General features: G+C 39.1%; 1 long non-coding RNA gene across 1 annotated transcript in view, besides 1 other annotated feature; it reads left to right on the top strand.

Annotated features, from left to right (window-relative positions):
* LOC401478 (uncharacterized) overlaps nt 1-22512 on the top strand; it is a 273872-nt gene that overhangs the window by 115011 nt on the left and 136349 nt on the right. The window lies entirely within an intron of this gene.
* Nucleotides 398-962: an enhancer, noted in NCBI's record as "OCT4-NANOG hESC enhancer chr8:138979816-138980380 (GRCh37/hg19 assembly coordinates)". NCBI's record gives its function as "activates a minimal SCP1, AML or CMV promoter by ChIP-STARR-seq in primed H9 embryonic stem cells {active_cell/tissue: H9 hESC(primed)}" and the evidence as "EXISTENCE:reporter gene assay evidence [ECO:0000049][PMID:30033119]".

Genomic DNA, 22512 nt, shown 5'->3' with positions numbered 1-22512 from the left:
CATGCTCTCTTCATTACTTCAATACATCATTTATTTGACACCTAGTATTGAGTACCTAGCATATGCTAAGCCCTTGCTAAGGTTTTTTATTGAGGAAAAAGCCCCGGAAAGGGAAGGGGATTCTCTACAGAATGTAGTTTTTCCCTGCAAGTGACAGCTTTGCAGAGCTATTTCAAGATATGGCAAAGAAACATATTTGGGGTTAAAATATTTTGATTTCCTTCATGACCTTTCATGTGAGGCTATGCCAGAGTTACATTGCAAAGTGAGCCACATTATCCTGGGTTGAATAAAACCCCTCTGATGAGACTTTATGTTTGTAGGGCATGCCAACCAAAAGAGACAAAGTCTGTAAAATATTTGAAGAAATTTATTCTGAGCCAAATATGAGGGACCATGCCTGGGACACAGCCCTCAGTAGACCCTGAGAACATGTGCGCAAGGTGGTTGGGGCACAGCTTGCTTTTATCCATTTTAGGAAGACCTGAGACATCAATCAAATGCATTTAAGACATACATTGGTTCTGTTTGGTAAGCTGAGACAACTCGAAGCAGCGAGGCTTCCAGATTATAGACAGATTTCAAAACTTGATGACTGGCAATTGTTAAAACAGTTATTGTCCATAGAAAGGAATGTTTGGGTTACAATAAGGGGTTGTGGAGACCAGCGTTTTATCATGCAGATGAAGCCTGCAGGTAGCAGGCTTCAGAGAGAATAGATTGTCAATGTTCCTTATCAGACTTAAGGTCTGTGTTGATGTTAAATGCTGATCAGCTTTTCCTGAATTCCAAAAGCAAGGAGGGCATAATGAGGCATGCCCACCCTCACCCTCTCATGTCATGGCCTGAACCAGCCTTTCAGGTTAAATTTGGAGTGCCCTGGCCAAGGAGGGAGTTCATTTAGATGGTTGGGTGGGGGCCTTTGGATTTTATTTTTGGTTTACAGGCGTGACTACCCAGGCCTTTTAGATAGGAATTTGGAGAAGGGAAGAAAAAGGTCAGAGTTTAGTCCTAACAGGATACACACGAACTCTGCCCTGTAAGAACCTGTGCATTCCGAGGCAGATAGTAAGCAAAGGACATTGAATACCTAAAAGACATGGCATGAAGCAACACTAGGTTTAATCATGCTATGATTAGAAAAAAACAAAGCAGTTCATTTGGATTAGAGATTTGTTAAACACATTCTGTGATGGACAGACAATAAAGGGGGCCTGTGTGATCCCACTTCCTGCTATTCATGCCTTTGTATACTCCCTTTCCATGAAGGGAGACTTGTGGTTCTCTTCTCATCAACAGAATGTGCAAAGATGAGGCAAGGCTCTTGTGATCATCCCATAGAAAACTCTGCCTTGTTAGTGGACTGTCTCTGCTATCTTGTTCTTGCTAGCTGTGAAGAGGAAAGCTGACATGAGTCCTACAGCTACAAGAATTGAATTCTGTCAATAACCTTAGTGAGCCTGAAGCAGATTCTTCCCCAGAGTTGAGGCTCTCGTGAGAACTCAGTCCTGTATGATACCTTGATTATCATATTGTGAGAGCCAAAGTGGGGCACTCAACCAGCCCTGCCTGGGCCTTTGACCTATTAAAGCTCTAAGATAATATGTGTTACTTTAAGGTGCAAAGTTTATGGTACCTTGTTATGCATCAGTGGAAAACTAATACACAAATATATGTTGAATGCCTAACTCTGTGGTAGGCACTGTATAAGTAACCAGAAAATAGTGATAAAGAATGAAGTAATCCACACTCCCGACCCCCAGCCCTAGTTGTTGCTCTTAGCCTGGTTGGGGCCATATGCCTATAAATGCAATGACAGGACATGTGAGAAGTGTTGGTATGGTTTTATGATAACTTGAAGCAGGGAGCTTCCATCTCTCCCTTGTGGGGTCTAGACAGTCTCATACTAAAGAAAACATGTGAACTGAATCTTGGAGAGTGAGGGAGTGTTTACTGGAAACTGAGGACAAGGAGGGCACCCAGCAGATGGCACGCATTTGCAAAGGCTCAGAGGTGTCAAAGACTGCTCATACTTCTCCACCATTCTAGAGTGAGAAGAAGCCATAGAGATCTCTAAGAAGGAAGATAAAACCCAACAGCCTTTATTTATTGAATGGCTGTGTGTATTAAAAACAAATAAAACTATCTGATTATATTCCATTTCAGTCTCTCACCTTTTCCTGAGTTACACAACTTTTGCCAGTGTGTGGCAGTGTCAACAGAGTTATTATCTAGCAAAAATTACCACCCACAATGGGAATTTCTGCTGTTATAAAACAAAAGCAAACTTCAAAGGCGTGGGGGTGGTGAGAGTGTGTGTGAGAGAAAGCATTTTGCAATTTTTTTTTTTCTGGCAATGTTCTTTTTATGCTAATATCCCATAGTTTCCTACCTTAATGGCCCCATTAAATGCCATGAGAGTATTTGCAAAAGAAAAGTGGTACCTGGAGATGAAGATGTAAAGTTACTAAGTGCATTTTGAGGAACAGAGAAGATTTCTCAGGAAAGGAGTTAATGTTCCAGAGAAAGCTTTGTTTATCCGACAGACTTTATAACTGCACTGTTTTCTTCACTCAGCACCTTAATTCTCAACCACCATAAGGCTGTCCAGATGTTTAAAATAAAAAGCCCATTTGGGTATTATCGGAGATTACTGGGAAGAGATAGACAGACATGATGTTTAGCTATGCAACATAAATTCCCTGAGTATGTGCCATCCAGCAAACTCTATATTCTCACCCTGCTGAAAAACTGAAATAATAAATCATAAAAACGAGACACAGGGCTCTGAACACAATTTACCTCTAGCCAGCTGCCATCACGGGAGGAAGGAGTGAAGGTAGAGATGAAGCATGTGAATGGTGCCTTTTCCTTTGCGCAAGGCCTGTTGGACAGGTCTTTTCCCTAATCTGCCTTGGAGAATCTCTGTGTTGTCCCTGACTTTCCTATTTAGTCTTAACATCAGCCTCAACTAGATACGTATTCTGTTCCAATAAGCTTGGCCAATTAATTAATATTTGCCAGTTACCTTTTTTTTTCATTCCTATACCATCATTTATTTTATTCCTTTTACTCACTGTGCCCATCTTCCCCACGTTTGTCAAATTATACTTATCCTTCAAGGTCTTGCTTGAGACTACAGTCTTTTTGAAGTCCTCTAGAAAGGCACAAACCAAAAAAAATCTCTCCATGTTCCCACACTATTTTGTCTCAGTCACAAGAAGGCTCTTGTCAACTACTCCTTGTATGAGTGATCATCACTACTTAACTCCTTAAGACAAAATTTCTTGAGAACAAGAATCTTGCCTTTTATTCTGTATAGTTCCGATAATGATATCAGCCTTCCTTTATCCATTTGCCCATCATGGTGACTTCTTTTGAGTCTTCATTCAGATATTTGCCATGTCAGTGAATTTACAGATCATTTTGGATGTTGTACTTATCATTGTGATGCTAAGAGGTAAGTGTTATTGTTGTTGTTGTTTTCCAGATAAGAAAATTTGCAGATATTAAAGTTTTTACCCAAGGTCACACAGCTAGTGAAGAGCAGGGCAAGGATTTGAGCCTAAGGTACAACACAACATTGCACCGTAGACCGTTTCAAACCCAGCACAGTGGCTTGCACGTGGTGGATGTTGATGAAACTGTTATGAAATGAATGATAGTTGATGTAAGCGTAAATGAGGATGTGCATGAAATCTTTATTCATTTCTGGCGTGGTATAGCTCATCATTAATTATCTTGTCATTTAATGTTTTTATCACTGCCTAGATATTTGTTCTTGTTGACGAGTGAGTGATCCGGATGGCCGTATCTCTGGGTTGGGTTTCAACTCTGTATTAACTTGGGCAAGTCACTTGAGTCCTTTATGTCTCCATTTTGCTAATTATTAAGATGGGCATTACCCCTAAGCTTAACTAAGAGATGCTGGATGCCAATGATAATGCTATGCCAGTGACATAAAAACTGCTAGAAAAATATTAAGAGAGGAAAATGAGAGAGAGAAATCAGTTATTAATGTTCTTTGAAGAGGAGTGTCATTTATTCTCAGAGCAGAAGGACTGTTGATCAATTCTAATCAAGCTGCTCTCTGAAAAGTCTTTGTGATGAGGCTGATCTCCTTAATCCTTGGTTGACTTGCTTGTGAATCTGACAGCTCACTCAACTTTCAACCATTTATTGAATGGGCCCAGTGGACATAGGTCTTTTGGGCATTTGGGAGGAAAGTGTTTTAGAAAGAAAAATAAATTTCAAGCCAGGTGGCTGATAAAATGGGGTTCTAGCCCAGGTGTACTGCTAAGTAGCTCCATGACTTCTTAGCCTCTATGCCACCATCTCTTCATCTTCACCGAAACAATCAATGTACCATCATTTCAGTACTGATTTTCTTTTCTTTCTTTCTTTTTTTTTTTGAGATGGAGTCTTGCCCTGTCACCAGGCTGGAGTGCAGTGGCATGATCTCAGCTCACTGCAACCTCCCCCTCCCAGGTTCAAGTGATTACCCTACCTCAGCCTCCTGAGTAGCTGGGACTACAGGTGTGTGCCACCACGCCCAGCTAATTTTTTGTGGGTTTTTTTGTATTTTAGTAGAGATGGGGTTTCACCAAGTTGGCCAGGATGGTCTCGATCTCCTGACCTCATGATCTGCCCTCCTCAGCCTCCCAAAGTGCTGGATTACAGGCATGAGCCACCAGTACTGATTTTCTTTGTGTGTACGTTCACTATTGAATTCCTAGTAATTCTGTTATTGCCACTTCTTTACAAACAGATGGCTACTAATAAGAATGTTCCTGTCCCTTACCTGTAATTCCTAATTACACAGCATAAATACAAATTTAGCTTTAATTCAATTAAGTGGTAATGAGGTGAGGAAGTAATACTTGAACATATTACTGTAGTTCAGGCTTGTAAGCAATGGATAATATTTATATTCCATTAGATTCTATGAGGCATTTTCAAAATCTTTTAAAATGCCCTCAAAATACTCTGGCTGTAATAGCATATTAAAAGCAAGTGCTCAGAGAAAAGCATATATATACATCTTAGAGGTATCTAAATTTAAGTCACTTTTGAGCTCCAAGGCATTGAAAAATTAAAATATACACATGTGTATATATGTGTATATATACAAAATAAGCATTATAATATATTAATAACATACATAATTATATGTTATATTATTATAATATATACTATATTATAAAAATCATTTAAATATATGTATTTATATAAATCTGTAGTGATCTTGAATAACTTATTCCATTTTTCTGAGGCTCATTTTCCTTATGTATAAAATAGGTAAAATAAAATATACATTTTAGGACACCTTTTCCTTTCACACCATGTCGTGCCTGCCATGTGGACAACTCCAATTATCTGTGATAACCTTTGGACCCCACATGAAATCCCCAATAAATCTTTAATTGACCCAGTTTGGGGTGGGTGTTGTATCCACCTTTAGTCCAGTGAGCATAGCTGGATTCGAGCTTCGTGGCATCAAGGGCTGCCCCCTCTAGAGCATGTGTGTTTCCAACCAAGTTAAAATGAAAGTTGGATCTGTTTGGAAAGTCTACCTGGCATACCTATTACAACATCTATTATATTTTCATTCTCTACATGAAGAGTGAGATTACACTTTACTCACCTTTTAGTGCATGCCTGGATGACCATGCTCAGGGTTTTGTACAAATTAAGTGCTTAATTAATCATTTCTTTCTTGGATTAAATGAGTAACAAGCAAGGCAAAGAATTTCTGATAAGATCATTATCTTGGGAGTTATGGACTGAATTGTGTCCCTCCAAAATTCAATGGTTGAAGCCCTAAACTGCCATGTGATTGTATTTGAAGAAAATAAATGTGTCTTATTGAAGCCATCCAATCTGTGCTCCTTTGTTATAGCAGCTGTATTAGTCCATTTTCATGCTGCTATAAAGAAATACCGGAGACTGTGTAATTTATAAAGGAAAGAGGTTGAATTGACTCACAGTTCAGCATAGTTGGGGAGGCCTCAGGAAACTTACAATCATGGCGGAAAGGAAGGCAAACATGCCCTTCTTTACATGGCAGCAGAAGAGAGAAGAATGAGAACCCAGAACCCCTATAAAACCATCAGCTCTCACGAAAACTTACTATCATGAGAATAGCATGGAAGAAACCACCCCCATGATTCAATTACTTCCCACTTGGTCCCTCCCATGACACCTGGGGATTATGGGAACTACAATTCAAGATGAGATTTGGGTGGGGACATAGCTAAACCATATCAGCAACCTTTAAAAACTAACATACTGGACAAAGGGTTCAGCTAAATATGGTTTATTAACAGAATCCAACCAGGTTAAAAGAGAGGAGAAGAAAGAGTAATCAGGGTTACTGCCAAAGTCCTACTTAGTAAGTCATAATTTACATATAGAAGCAAAAATAGGTGTTTGTAAGATGATAAATTTATACATTCATTTACTCAGTAAGTAGTCACTAAGCCCCTATTTGTAAACTGCTAGGGGAATGAGCCCCCCATTTTTTATAGCATACTATACTGGTATACTGCCAGACATTATGACTGTGTTGCTTCCCCTGGCTTTCCAGAAACCTCATCCACTGACTGAAGATGCTCCTGCAAGTCTTCATCGCAGGAGACAGCAGTGCCCAAGTGCATCCTGAAGCTCTCATTCTGGCCTTTTGCTTCCTCCACTTCCTCAGCCCCAACCAACTGCACTTCCATTTGTATTTTCATTACATTCTCCCCACCACATCTTAAAATCTCTTATCTAGAACTGCTAACAACTAAAATGTCAAGCAAATGTCTCCCTCTCTGAGCGTAATCTGCCTTTCCAGTCATCTCCCTCCTTTATATGTACCATGGGCAATGAGACATTAGTCCCATTATTTCTCATGTTTCTCCCTCTGGGTAATGCTTCGTACTCTTTTTCCTTCCTCCCTAATCCGAAGCCTTGGCCAGTTCATCTGAGCTGTGTCCTTTCTCATTAATTCTCTCTTCACTTCCTTAGCATCAATCTCTTTCTGTCTTTACTGGCCCACAAAATTCCAAACATAGGTCAGTAGCAAAACATATTTATTGTGTTTACACTTCAATGGCTGCTGAACAAAATAATGCAATTCTGGATATTGAGGCCAAGCAAAGGAATATCTTAAATCTTATCTGAGTCTTCAGTGATATGTGTTTGTATAGGCTCCTGTTTTCCGTAAAGATTCTTAACAATTACTTGGGACACTTCTCTGGAAATGAGCAGCGATCGCCTGGTCACAGTGAATAAAGTGAACTATTCTTGGTATTACTTTCTCTCCTGCCTCCTCATCCAATCAATCAGTAAGTTCTTGAATCCTTCCATTTATCTTTATCTGCAATGGCCACTTTTTCTAAACCACCCTTCTTCTCCTACTGGAATACTGTAACATCCTCCTAATCTCCCTGTTTCCATTTTAGCCAACATAGGATCCATTACACTCAGCAGCAGTAACCAAGGCTCCAAAATGCAAGCTATTCATGGCCACTCCTTCAACACTCTTATGTCTTCCTGTTGTGCTATTTTTTTAAAGTGTTTTTTCCCTCTGGCCTAAGAAACTATACATTTCTACATGATTGTCCCCAGTCTATTTGTTAATCATCATTTGTTCCATTACCTCCCCTGCCTATGTTGCTTTGAAACTGTTTATTTTAATTTAACTCAGCATTTTATCTTTCTCACTTTAGGAAAATAATCGTTGCCATCTTTTTAAAATCTCACCTCACATGTTACTTCCAGACAGAGATCTTCCTAGACTACTCAATTTGAAGTGACTTTCACTCTGATTTCTCTATCTGAATCTCCTTTTGTGTTTTCTTATTATAATCCTTCTATATTATGTATTTGCTTATGCGATTTAATTTCTTACCCTACTAGAAAGTGAAAGTCTGAAGTAATAGGAAAAACATTGTTTTTTATTCACTTGTATATTTTTTGTGCCTAGCACAAGTAGAATTTTATGTTCATTTTCTGAATGAATAAGAGAGCATGAGAAGTGGAAGAGAGAGAGAAAGGAAGAAAAAAAGAAGCAGAAGAAGAAACAGAGGGAGGAGGAGGAGGATAAAGAACAGGAGGAGAAAGAGGAAGAAGAGAAGGAAGAGGGAGTGGGAGAGAGGAAAGAGGGAAGAAAACCTCCATCTTGTAGATGAAGATGCTTGGAGAAGGGAAAATTGAATGACTTATTTCCAGACCAGATAAAAGATGAATGATTTTTACTCCGTTCGTGGTTCGGGTAGAATGAGTTGTATGTTTGAGACAGGGAGTCTTTAGATAACCTATTTGCCTACTTAGCTCTCGCAACAGCATGGGAGTATCTCAGTTTGAAGCTTGGTTAATCTCACCACTTCTCCCCCTGCCCATAATCTCCGTGATCTGCAACACACAACAAGGTGAGAGGAGTCAAGCCTGGCTCCAAGTGTGTATGCTTTCTTATGGCACCCATCATTCTCACATCATTGGCCGATGAGGTTAATGCTAAGCTCTGCATATACTTTGTCTTAGCACCCTTCTCCCTCCTAAGGTTGTACTTGTAAAACATCTTGTGAATTTTCTCCCATCTGCATATGCTCCCAAGAATTATCTACATGCTGTTTTTTATTCCTATTTTAGTCAACATGAGGCAAAGCCATGACTAAAATCTTAGCTTTACGTGTTCATGCAGTTAGCACATAAGCCCTACAGTGTTCTTGATGCTGAGATACAAGATGGCCAAGTGCATTACAGGAGGGGCGGGGGGAGAGACAGAGAGAAAGAGAGATATGGGAATTGGCTCACACAATTATGAAAGTTGAGAAGGCTCACCATCTGCTTTCTGCAAGCTGGCAAATCATGAAAGCTTCTGCGATAGTTCAGTCCAAATTCAAAAGCCTGTGAACCAGGGGAGCTGGGGGTGTAACTCTGAGCCTAAGTCCGAAATCCTGAGAACTAGGAGCTCCAATGTCCAAGAACAGGAGAAGATGGATGTTTCAGCTCAGACAGAGAGAGCAAGTTCACCCCTCCTCAGTCATTTTGTTCTACCTGGGCCCTCAATGGATTGGGTAAAGCCCATGCATGTTGGTGAAGACTAATCTTTTTTACTCAGTCTACCAATTCAAATGCTAATTTATGCCTGAAACTCCCTGACAGACACACTCAGAATTAGTATTTTACCAGCTATCTGGGTTTCCCTTAGCCCAGTTAAGTTGACACATAAAATTAGCCATAACTACCAAGGCAGCAGGATCTCACCTTGTTCTCACTTTTTGTCCTCATCGTTCAGGTGGAGGGCCTTGGGAACATCTTTTTTTTTTTGTATATAATATCAGATTTTACTTTTAAAAATGAATCCAAGTAGTCAACTCACTGCCTTATGCAATTAGCTTCATTGGCTATTAGTCTCGCCATATGTCAAGACAGAAAAATTGTTTGTAAAGAATTGCCATTGAGATGGTTGGCAGTGGAATAAATCACTATTGACCTTTCCACTTTTAAGAATTTAATGAACTTAGGAATGAAAATTACCCTGAGCTCTAACAACTGTAACCTTGGCTTTTGTAACTAAAACCCATTGCCATTAATGTTCACTCTTTGAGATGCCAGGGGTCACTGCTGTTAATAATGAATGAGACCAAGGTGGAAAAATTGGTGACAGAAAATCCAACTGGCCCCAATTCAAAGTCAAACAAGAAGTTCTCAATGAAAATTCTATGTAGATAGAAAGTTGCATAGAGGCAGATGGTGTGGAATCTTAGTGGACTGACATACAGTGAACTAACCTCTATTACATAACCATTGTTTTTTATTTAGGTACTATATAGAATACTGTGTATAAACTACTTTAGTTATTATATATCTGTTAGTTAGCAGTCATTATCTCTACACTAAAGTTGAGGATACTAACATTCAGAAGGAAAAACAAAAGTGATGTGCCTAAAATAAAGCTTTTGTCTAATAGTATTTCTTTATTTACTGAAGGCTTACAATACCCTTGAAGCCAGCAATATAGCAATACCTAAGACAGACTCCCCATCTGCTAAATTCTAGAGGAAGCACACATGACTTGTCAGCGGTAAAGCTTGGACTTTTCCCAACTTGCATTTGGCTAACAGTCTTTCTTGTTGGAAAAAAAAAGAAAAAGAGACAAAACTGTAGTTTCACTTTCTGCTACTTAGTAGTGGTGACCTTGAAATGGACCTTAGATCTCCTTTACTCTAAGGCCCTTAAATCTTCTTCAGTATGAGAAAACTTGACTTATAATTTTGTAGGATTCTTCTAGTGAGTCAGAAACCACCCAACAAGGTGGAGAGGTTCTCATGAATGGAGTATTAGTGTGCAACACAGTGGGCTCTTTTGATTTCAAATGACTCCTAGCTGGCTTAAGGCAGGCCAGGAAATTATTAAAAGTTTGAGTGACTTATGACAATGAGCTGAAACAATCAAAGTGATACATATGTTGTATGTTTTCTATGTAGGAAATGTTTTCTATTTCCTGTTGGAAAAGACTGAGGAAGCGCATATTCCTGAGAGCTACCACCTTAAGACTGGGTTCCTTTATGTACCTATATGGCTGCATAAGTCCCAACATCAACTCTTATTAGATAAACTTGGTCGCCATGAGTCAATGTGTCCAATGTGACTAGAAACACTGATTGGCCAACCTCTGTGACAGGCTGTATTCCAGGAGCCTGAGATAAAGTCAATTTCCTCAAAACTATATGAATCCCAAAATGGAAATCAGTGGCCTTTGAGAAATGGGGAAGTTAGAATTCGTTCCAGAGAGACAAACAACTCATGTCTACATAAATATGACTGGTCTTTGTAATCTACAAATATTAGCAATATTGCCCATTGCCAGTTTTATTTTTCTTATTATCTGTGATTCTTGGAACTTTTTCGTCTTACAGATTACTAAATAGAAACCCAGGGAAGTTCAATGACTTGTCTCTGCTTACATAACCAGTTTGTATTGTTTTCATTTTGTCAAATATATTACAACAAATATTTGTTATGCCTCTACCACATTCCAGAAATCTGCTAGACATTGATGATGCTCAGTTAATTTGACTTCTTTATCCTTTTTGAACAAAAATTCACCAATGATATTATCAACTTTTTAATTGCAAAGAAAGGGTGGGGTCTCACTTCACGAGACTCCCTACTCTACCTACAAGAGTGATTATTAGATACTATCTAGTTTTTAATAACAGACTAAACAAAAGGAAAACACAAAAACATTTAATTTGTGGAATTGTACAAGATTATATATTTTTAAATGGTTTAATCATCTTGCCTGTTCTTCTGAATCGTTGCCTTGCCTCTCAAAAGTGGGAGTTTCTGTATCTACCACTTAGCATCTGCTCTGGCCAGTGGAATGAGATGGGAGTGATGCTGTGTCAGTTCTAGGTGTAGTTGCTGACTGGCCTGGTAAGTTTCACTCCTTGCCTCGTGGAAACCACTCACTATGTAAGAAGTGTCCCTGAGACAAATATGCCATGAGAAGCTCATCTTATTGATAGTTCATGAAGGATAAGACACCATGTGGACTGAGAGAATGAGACCAAGAATCCCTAAGATGTTAGATACTAGTGAGGAAAGAAAACATCTTGGATGTCTAGTCTGGGTAGCCTCCAGATAATTTCAGGTCCTACCATGTGACTACAACTGCATTAAACTGCATTAAAGATCATAAGCCAGACCAGCAGAAAAAAAAAAAAAAAAAGGAAGAAGAAGAAGGAGAAGGAAAAGAAAGAAAAAGAAAAAGAAAAAATTTGGAAGTAACCAACATGTCTTCAATGGGTGATTAGCTAGATTAACTATGGTACATATAATGTACCCAGAATGCAAACTTCTCCCTGTAATTGTGCTCTTGAAAGAGTGTAAGAACAAAGTGTAGTGTAAAAACAATTGTAGAAGTTCTGATATGCAGGTATATATTGCTTGTATACTTTGTCCATATATGAAATAAATCAGAAAAGTACTGGAAATTGATACTAACTTTCTACATAAAATTTATCTATATAAAAGTCATATAAGGAATAGCCTAAATTTCTATAAATATCAAACTCCCTTAGTTTTTTTCTAATTATTTCCTTTGCATTAGAAAATGTATTTTAATGTCCAATGCTATAAAATGAGCCACCCCAAAACTTCTTATCTTAAAATAACAAGCATTTAATTTGCTCAAAATCACTTCAGCAATTTGGGCTGGGTGCAGCTGGGCTGATTGCTTACTAGTCTAGCTTGTGAGTGCTCATTTGCCTGTGGCCACCTGATGACTACATTGGGACAGTATTGTCCAGCATGGCCTCATTTCAGTGTCTGGTGGTTGGTACAGGCTGTTGGCTGGGCCATTTTCTGCATGGCCTCTCCAGCAGGTTAGATCAGACTTGTTCACATGAAAGTCTCAGGGCAGTAGAGGAGCTAGCACAGAACTTATCAGGCCTCTTGAGACCTAGGCTCAGAATACCCACCATGTCACGTCTGCCAACCTTCTATTAAATCAAATCACAAGACTGTTCAAGTGAATGAAGAAATAGACTCCACTCTATGATTGGAGAAGCCACAATGTCACATTGCAAAGAGAAAGACATACTGAGGAATTTGTAGTAATTTTTTAAATCTATCAGAGTCTTTCTTATCATTACGAATTATTCACATTTTCCCCCATTCAAGTTAAGTTTATCTAAATCGCAGGACCTTCAAAACTCTCATCCCTCTTAGATGAGTTGGCTTGAAATCCAGAATCTCATGATCTGCATCATATGTGAATAAGGATGAGGCTTGCTGTGGTGATCCCTTTTGTGATCCAGATACCTATTAAGTAAAATACAAATAAATTGCCCACCACCAAAACACAATGGTTAGAAGCAATAAAATACAGGCACTCTGATTAAAATAGGGACAGGAGGTACATTGTAATCACAGGTCCACAGCAAATCTGCAGTCTAGATGGGTCCATATTGTAACAGCCATATATGCTGAGGACAAGGAAGTACTTTTAAATAGGCTCCATCTCTGCTCCCCTGAGTGGTTTTTGGGTACATTGCTATTCTCAGCACTTGGCTCCACTCTCTGGACTCTTGAGTTCTACCTTCTGGGAAATTGGCTCTTCCCTTTGATATTTCTTCTTTCTTTTCCATAATAAAATCTCATTTCATAGCTGCCTGTAAAGAACTGGCAATCCAGAATCCAGTTTGAACTATGTTCATTCCCTTCATCCAAGCTGCCAGGGTTTTCACCTATTGAACGCTTTTAAAAGTTTTGTGGGTTTCCTATGAATGATATCAAGTTGTTCTCACCTTATTAGGTGTGAAATTTTTTTAAATCAGTAACCCATTTACTTCTTCCATTTTCTACCTTTCGGAACTGGAATTCTCTCCTATGCCCATGCCACGATTGTATTTTGAAAGACGATAACTTGCTTTCTAATTCTACAGGTCTACAGATGGGAAGGAATTTTGCCAATGGATATATTAAAACTAGAGTCTCACCCATGCCTTCTTTAGATGGTTTAGATGGTAAGATTTGAAACCTTTTGAGTTGATATTTGGATGAGATTTTGGATTTAGTGTTAATGCTGGAATGCATGTGTTGAGTTTGGGCAACACTGGGTTGAAGTAAATGTATTTTGCACATGGGATGGACATAAATTTTGATGGTGAACTATAGTAGGTTGACTAGTGTCCTTGAAAAATTCATGTTATAGCAGAACCTCAGAATGTGATCTTATTTGGAATCAGGGTCTTTGCAGATATAGTTAGTTAACATGAGATCATATTAGATTAGAGTATGCCCTAAATCCAATGACATGTGTACCATAGTTAATCTCGCTAATCACCCATTGAAGACATGTTGGTTACTTCCAAATTGTGGCAATTAAAATCAAGCTGTTATTAACTTCTGCATGCAGGTTTTTATGTAGACATACGTTTTCAACTGCACTGGGTAAATACCAAGGAGTACTGATAGGGTTTGGCTGTGTCCCCACCCAAATCTCATCCTGAACCGTAGTTCCCATAATCCCCACATGTCATTGGAGGGACCCAGTGGGAGGTAATTGAATCATGGGGGCAGTTACCTCCATGCTGTTCTCGTGATAGTGAGTTCTCATGAGATCTGATGCTTTTATAAGGGGCTTCCCCCGCCTTCACTCTTCACTTCTCCGTGCTGCTGCCATGTGAAGAAAGACATGTTTGCTTCCCCTTCTGCCATGAATGTAAGTTTCCTGAAGCCTCCCCAGCCCTGTGGAGCTGTGAGCCAATTAAACCTCTTTCCTTTGCAAATTGCCCAGTCTTGGGTATGTCTTTATTTGCAGTGTGAGAATGAACTAATACAAGTACAATTATTGGATTATATGGTAAGAGTATGTTTAGTTTTGTAAGAAACTGTCAAACTGTCTTTCAAAGCAACTGTATCATTTTTCATATGAGAGTTCTGTTGCTCCACATCCTTTCCAAGATTGGGTATTGTTACTGTTTTGGGGACTTGGGCAAATCTAACAGGAGTGTAGTGGTACCTTGTTGTCTTAATAGCCCTCCTCCATTCTTGAACTGGAGTAAATAATAGTTCTTATCACAAAGTGTTGAGGGGAAGATTAAATTAGGTAAGTGACACAAATCACTTATAAGGTACATGACACTTCAGGAATGCTAGTATGAATGATGTATCATTACATGGAAACATTTTCACTGTCTCTATACAGGTCCTTCATGATATGGCTCTGTTCCCCTTCCCAGCTTTATTTCTTGGCAATGTTTGCACCCAATTTGGCTATTACTCATTTCTCCACATTCCCTCATGCTCTCTCCTTTGCCTGGGATGCCTCTTCTAGTTGCATTGTAACTGCTACCTTTTGTTCATGGCTCAGCAAAGTAAATCCCCTCAAAGAAGCCTTTTCTGACTCCTGCTTTCTGGCCTGTATCAGGAGCCCACCTCTGCCCTTGAGGGCAGCCTTCTTACCATCATTTTTACTATAAAATGGCATCACAAATGCCTACTCACTTGACTTTCCCCTTCATTGCATGAAAATATCTGAGGAGACAGACAACACTTCTTATGCACCTACAGCCATCTCCAGCATTTGGTAAAGAGTTTGGCACACTATAGGGGCCAAATAATATTTGAGATATTCAGGCATGCATTTAGAAAGGGTGAGAGGAAAGATGGAGAAAATGATGGAAGAATAGTTAATATAAGAGAAAAAGTATATGGAGTAAAAAAGAACAGAGTAAAAGAACACAAGAGAAAGTTACAGATACAGAAATAAGAAAAAAACAAAGAAGGAAAAATATCCATGGCGAAATGTGGATTGGCTGTCACAGCCATGGAAGAGGTCCATAAGTGATGAAGCATCCCTGTCCGCCTGCATTAAATGGCAAAGGAACATGGATGGGATGGTTTACTGGGTGCCTATGGAATGTCAGTCATTACTGTGGGTCCAAGTGGTTACAGAGACATGAGATTATTTTCCCTCCCCTTCTCCCAAGAGCTCACAGACTTTATGAGAGACAAGTCAAAAAAGTTGTGTCATTGATTGAGCATTACGTATATTATGATAAAAGCTGTACTAGAAAGAGCAGCATTAGAGAACTAGAGAAGAGGGGGCACAAAGTGGAGGTGATTTACTCAACCCAAGGAAGTAGGTGGATGTCTTCGAGTTTAGGAGAGCTGTTTATTAAGCTTTAAAATATGAGTAGGAGTTAATGAAGCCAAAAACAGGATCTGGTGCCGTACAGGAGAAGAGAGCAAGGACAGAGTGTATGAAATGAAGTGACTTTTAAGCTGAAGATCATTCTGCATGACAGTGTTGCCCCTGTCCCAAATGTATTTTTCTAAGGGAAACTTGTCCTGAAGGAAAGGAAAAGACACCGGAGGATTTTAGGAGTCATGGGAAGATTTTAGGATGGAAAGTGATATGGTTGGGTTTACATTTTAGAAAAAGACCTTAGGTAATAGTCTGAGGAATAGAATTAAGAAGACAGAGGCCGGGCTCAGTGGCTCACGCCTGTAATCCCAGCACTTTGGGAGGCCGAGGTGGGTGGATCACCTGAGGTTGGGAGTTCGAGACCAGTCTGACCAACATGGAGAAACCCTGTCTCTACTAAAAAATACAAAATTAGCCAGGTGTGGTGGTGCATGCCTGTAATTCCAGCTACTCAGGAGGCTAAGGCAGGAGAATCGCTTGAACCCGAGAGGCGGAGGTTGCAGTGAGCCGAGATCACGTCACTGCACTTCAGCCTGGGCAACAAGAGCAAAACTGTCTCAAAAAAAAAAAAAAGACGATAGAAACTGGGGACTGATTATGAGGCTTCCAATAATTAGATGAACAATAATGAGTACCTAAAGCAGGGTGTTTAGTGCATGAGACCAATATCTAACACATGGAAAAATTTAATTTTTTTCAAACGAGATGCAAAACACATTCTGAAATAAATGTCACATGAATATTGCAACTGTGAGCAGAAAGCAGTCAGTCCTCACATAAGGTCACTGAAATATAATATCTCACACAAGAGAGATCAAGTAGGAATAACTGTGTAAACAATGATGGCATTTAGCAGAGAGGTTTGCACGTTGTACATTTCATTACATATTTGTTGGCTAGTATAATGTTTAAGAGCATGGGCACTGGAATCCAATGTCCCTGATTGGAGCTAGTTCTTTTATCCTTTAACACTACAACCTCAGGAAAGATCTTTAACTTCTGGTGACAATTTTTTCATCAGAGTGAAGATAATAATAGTAGCTACCTAATAGCACTCTTGTGGGGATTAAATAATATACCATATGTAAGGCATTTAGCACAATGCATGGCAGATGGTAAATATTCCATAAATGTTAGCTATTTTTAAAACAAATGAGTGAATTGATGAATTAATAATTCTGGCAAAGGGTGGAAACATGTAGCAAAATGTCCATGCTGTAGAATATTTTGAGACAAATTTGAGTAATTGAGGTGAGTGAAATGAAGTACATCTAAATACCCTTAGGGTAAATTGCCTAGTAGGGATGCGCGATATCTTAGCAGTGATTGTTAAAGAGGTCTCAGTGATACTGGAAATATACATTAGCCCCTAAACCTGCACCTGGAGAGTGGCTTCATTCCATATGGGGAGGTATAAGTCACCCCTAGTATAGTAGTACTATTATTATCTTCACTCTGGTGACAAAAATGTCTCAAAAGAAGTTAAGCTTCTTTTCTGAAGTTGTAGTGTTAAAGAATAAAAGTTTTTGAAGTTGAAACACTGAAGGCAACTTGTCTGTACATTTTGTAAATTTCTGGGTCCCTCTCTCAGAAAAGAGGTGATATGTTTACATGATATGAAGAGGCAGGCTGCAGGTGTTCAATGAGCAGACATAAGGTGACGGCTCAGTTAGAGCACTGTTCTCCAGGGAAAGTTTGGCTGAAAATCTGGACCTTGGAGCAGTGAGACTAAGTTAGCCCTAGCATCACATCATTGCAGACACACATATCCCACCTTAACAAAAAGGGTTAAATTCTCCAGAGATTGTTTGCTGATTACTCCCAGTAACTACTGGCAAAGTTTGGTTTTATTTGTAGACATTGCTGCCCATCTACTACGAAGCAGGTTGCGTGCTGGGTGTTGGATTACAGAATGAGTGAGTTATGTGATTCCTGCCCTTAAGGAACTTGTACGCTAGCAGTGGAGGCACAAGAATCTAATAGCTCTAAAGCATTGGAAGGAATGTCTTAAAGAAGTGTAAATACATACTAGGGCAGAAGAAAGAAAGAAGTCATCTATCAATTTGACCAAAAAAAAGAAAAAAAAAAAAAGGGTTACTAGTTTTAAAACTCTGTTGCTCAGAGTCTGGACTATGATTTTTCTCATACCCTGCTGTTGGGATTGGAAATGGGCAGAATTCAGAGGGCGATTGGTAACACAAATCATGAGATTCAAACGTTCATTTACTTTGACCCTAGCAATTCCTCTCCTAAGAGTCTATACCATATGTGTACATACACACACACAGAGAGATGTGTGTAACTATTTGTTCAGAAAGGACTTTATTCCAGCAATTTTTATATTAAAAAGAGAAAAATACATACCCAATAATAGGCATTTATTACTAAATTATAGTACAAATTCAGATGGTGTATTATGTTGCTATTACAAATGATGTAATAGAAAAATAATGGTGGCCAGGCGCGATGGCTCATGCCTGTAATCCCAGCACTTTGGGAGGTCAAGGTAGGTGGATTGCTTGAGGTCAGGAGTTCAGACCAGCCTGACCAGCATGGTGAAGTCCTGTCCCTACTAAAAAAAAAAAAAAAAATTAGCCGGACATGGTGGTGCATGATTGTAATCCCACCTACTTGGGAAGCTGAGGCAGGAGAATCACTTGAACCCAGGAGGTGGAGGTTGCAGTGAGCCGAGATCACGCTGCTGCACTCCTGGTGCAGCAGCCTGGGTGACAGAGTGAGACTCTTCTCAAAAAATAATAATAATAAATAAAAATAAAAATAAATAAATAATGGTGTCAGAAAATGTTGATCTTATATTGTTAAGTGATAAAAGAAAAATTATAAGTCAGTAAGTGGAATGTGATCTTATTTGCTATAAATCAAATGTTTATGTCTTCTCCAAAAATGTATATGCTAAATCCTAACCTCCACTATATTGGCATTAGGAGGTGGGGCTTTTAGATCATGAAGGCAGAGCCCTCATGAAGGGGATTAGTGTCCTTACTAAAGAGACCCTGGAGAGTTCCCTTGCTCTTTCTGCTATGTGAGGCTATAGTGAGAAAATGACTGTCTATGAACCTGGACCTTCAGCAGACACTGAATCTGCTGGCAACTTTATTTTGGACTTCCAGTCTCCAGAACTATGAGAAATACATTTCTGTTGTTTACGAGTCACTCAGCCTATGACACTTTGTTATAGGAGCCCAAATGGACTTAGACATCCATACAGTAAAATATATATATATCTTCTAGAAGCAAACGACCACCATAAAAAAATGTCTATTTGTCAGTACTGTAGATATTCCAACAAACCAGGAGAAGTTAATTGTGTATTTCTAGGGCAGGAGAAAAAAGGGGAAAGTGCTCAATTGTAGTGACATATTTACTGGGTTTTAAAGGGTAGGCAGGACCAAATAAGCTAAAGCATTGACAAAATGTAGAGTGGGAAAAATGCTCCCAATCTCCAGCACTGCATTCCAAAATATTCAGTTCCACTAGGATCATAGCGTAGGCAAAACTAAGCTGTGTCCTGACCATGCCCTTTAATTGCTGTGTAACTTTGGTTAATCATTTGAACTCTCTGACTTTAAAATCAGAGGTGTGGTATTCGTCTTATGTATTTGGTGTGGTGATTAGATGTTGCGGTGCATAAAGCACCTCATGCACTTCCTATACAGAGTAGTTGCCTAAGAATCATGATGGTGATTACTCTAATGCAGTGGATAGGAGTACAGGCTCTGGGGCTCGAATGCAGATTCTGACTTCATTTACTAGCTCTGTGGCTTTGGGTGGGTTACTTAACCTCAGTTTCTTTGTCTGTAAAATGGGGCCAATAAATGATATCAACCTCATTCTGTCATTCAACAGTAAAATGAGATGATATATGCAAATATCCAGGACCTACCACTAGGGAGCACTTAATTCATGTTAGCAATGGCTGCTGTTAGGAGACATTTCTGTTCACTGAGCCTTGAGAAGAATATCGATAAATGATTTTATAGGAACTACCAAGTAGCAGAGTTTGGGAAGTACTGGACACCTAATATGGATTGACTCCAGAATTTATAATTCCATGGGGTGCATTCTGCATCCTCCTCTCTTGTCAGGGCAAACATAGTTCCTCCATTTATTTAACAAATGTTTACTAGGAATCAACTAATTATTGCTAGGCACGTGCATTCCATGCATGTTGAAATGAGTTGCACGAAACCTTAGAGGTCCTCCAATCTCTGGCCAGTATGCAAAAGTTTTCCACAGGATCTCTGACAAACTTTCTTCTACAATGTGTGAAATCCCCAGCACCATAGAATCTGACACTCTTCAGTTGATCCCTTGCTTTGATAGTTCTGACTTTTAGAAAGTTCTCCCTTATTTTGAGCCAAAATCTGCATCTCAAGAACCAGTTGCCTTTGTTTTATTTTAACTTTTTTTTGAGTTTACTAGAACAAGACTTTTCAATTCTTCACACAGCCATCCTTTAGATGTAGCTCCCTCTAGCTAGAATGTGCCTGAAAAATATTTTATTTTTAGGCTAACCTTCTTCCCCTGCCTTTAAGTCCCCAAGTATATGTTTCTTGAGCTCAGTAGAAACTAGTGATTAAGAGAATGGGCTCCTGAGCCAGACACCCTGGTTTGCAACACTGGCTTTGATGCTTCTGAGCTATACTTGCTCCCCATCTGTGCAGTGGGGATATCATATCATCCACTGTGGAGGGAAATATGAAGGATAAATTAGAGAATCCACTTAAAGCCCCTAGAGTCATTGATGGCATGTGGTACTGCATAAATGTAGCTTTTAATTTTATTATGTGCCTAGTTCTGTTGGCTGCTGACTGGGTATAGGAAAACAAGACTGTTTATAATGTAGAAGCACTGATAGCCTGGTAGAAGAGAAGGTAATTAAAGAGACTTCCGGAAAGTGAAATGCAAGGCAAGCCTCCTGAGTGTTTTAGAGCAGGGACAGCCCAGGGACATTCCTGGACAGCCCAGGAATGGACAGGAGGAGACTCATTTTTGTTTTCTTCCAAAGAATAAGATGGCTGAACCGATTATTCTACATAGATCTTTTTCTCAATACCCTGGTCACCATTTCATCCTATACCTTCCATGTCATAATAGAGTGAGTAGTTGTTCCCACTAATTTTTTAGTGCCATACTTCAAATTAAGCAAGATGTTAAGAATAAAAGGATAGGACAGTGAACTGGTAGAAAATGATGACAAATAAAGTGATTATATATATATATATATATATATATATATATATATATATATATATATACCTGGTAAATTCTCTAGAATGACATAGTTATCCAGCATTCACAAAAAAAAAAAAAAATCTTCGATTCCCAAGAAAACAGATGTAAGATTACTGCAGGGGTGGGAGATGACATTAGTCAATACATTTTTGTGTCGCAGCTTCCTGTGTTTATTTCAAACTAGAGTGTTGTTAGCCAGTGCAGAGCTGGCACTGAGCTACCCTGCCCTGCCTGCCCTGTATGCAAAGCTGCTAGATTCTTCAGATGGAGGTGGCTCATTATAGCCAGGGTGTGCCAGCAAAGGTGATATTGGGAGAGAAGAAAGGACAAAGATGCCAAGAAGAGACATGGGTCCTGTTAATGAGGTGTCAGTGCCTAAAACGCCTACCTGCTGCCAGTTCCGGCGGCTCCTTATGAGACTTTGAGTAAAGCCCAGCTGAAAGAGAATATGCTTGCCAGAAAGAAAATTGAGTTAGGGGTTTTCCAGGGGGCATGCAAATATTTTACTACGTGTGAGCGCTCTCTCAAATCCTGCACAATCCACAGGGGAAAGATAGATGCAGTGTACGTTTTATGATGGTTACTTTACTCCAAAACACTTTCTGATTGGAGGTTGAGTTTCTCAGACATGTTGTCACTCCAGATCCTGCCCTCCACACTTCCTACCTTTGCACCTTAGTCAAGTTTCCGAATTTTTTTTGTCCCTCAGTTTCTTTGTGCACAGAAACTGAGAATGAGAGTAGTAAAATAAAATCAGCTAATCACTGCCCATGTTTGGAATGGTGGCTGACACTCTGGGTCTTTCAGCTGTTGTCATTATCCCCAGTCAGACACATCTCCTCCTCTTCTCCCCCCTGTGCTGGGCTCATTATCTGTGAAACACTGGGCACTTTGGCATCTTCATGCTTCTCCATTCTATTCTTTTGACCTCTAAGTCCTGTCCCTGCTTATTTGCAAGTCATTCTGCAAGTCCCAGCTCAAAGGTTTTTTTTCAAATGCCTTAAGAAAATGATGCACCATGTTCAAGAAGAACATTATATATGTACTTCCATTAAGAAGATACTCATCGCATTGAATTGTACTTTTGACCTTTCTCTAGTATTGGAATTTTAGCTCACTGATGGTAGAAACTTACTTATTTTTCTATCTCTGGCCCTCTTCACTGTGCCATAGCACATGCTCACCACATTTCTTTCCTTTGTTTGCATTTAACAAATGCAAAGTACATGTTATATTGGTATATTGGTTATATATGAATGAAAAAGCAAACAAAATAAATATTACACATTGCTAAAGATTGTGGTTATATTAAGATCGTAGTACAGTGGATTTTTTATTTTTCACTTTTTTGGTAATGTTACTTTTTATAATAAAAAATAATTGAACATTTTATAAAATATCTCACTCATGCAAAATCATTAACTTTTTCAAGAATATTCATTTTTAATTTATTTTATTTGTCTATTTATGCAGCAAACTTTTGCAGAATGCCTATTATGTTATTCTCTCGGGAGTATTGAAAAGATAAATAAGTGTATACAATCTCAGAA

The sequence above is a fragment of the Homo sapiens genome, chromosome 8 (genome assembly GCF_000001405.40).
Source record: "Homo sapiens chromosome 8, GRCh38.p14 Primary Assembly".
Taxonomy (NCBI): Eukaryota; Metazoa; Chordata; class Mammalia; order Primates; family Hominidae; genus Homo; species Homo sapiens.
This window is presented reverse-complemented; position numbering and strand designations above follow the sequence as displayed.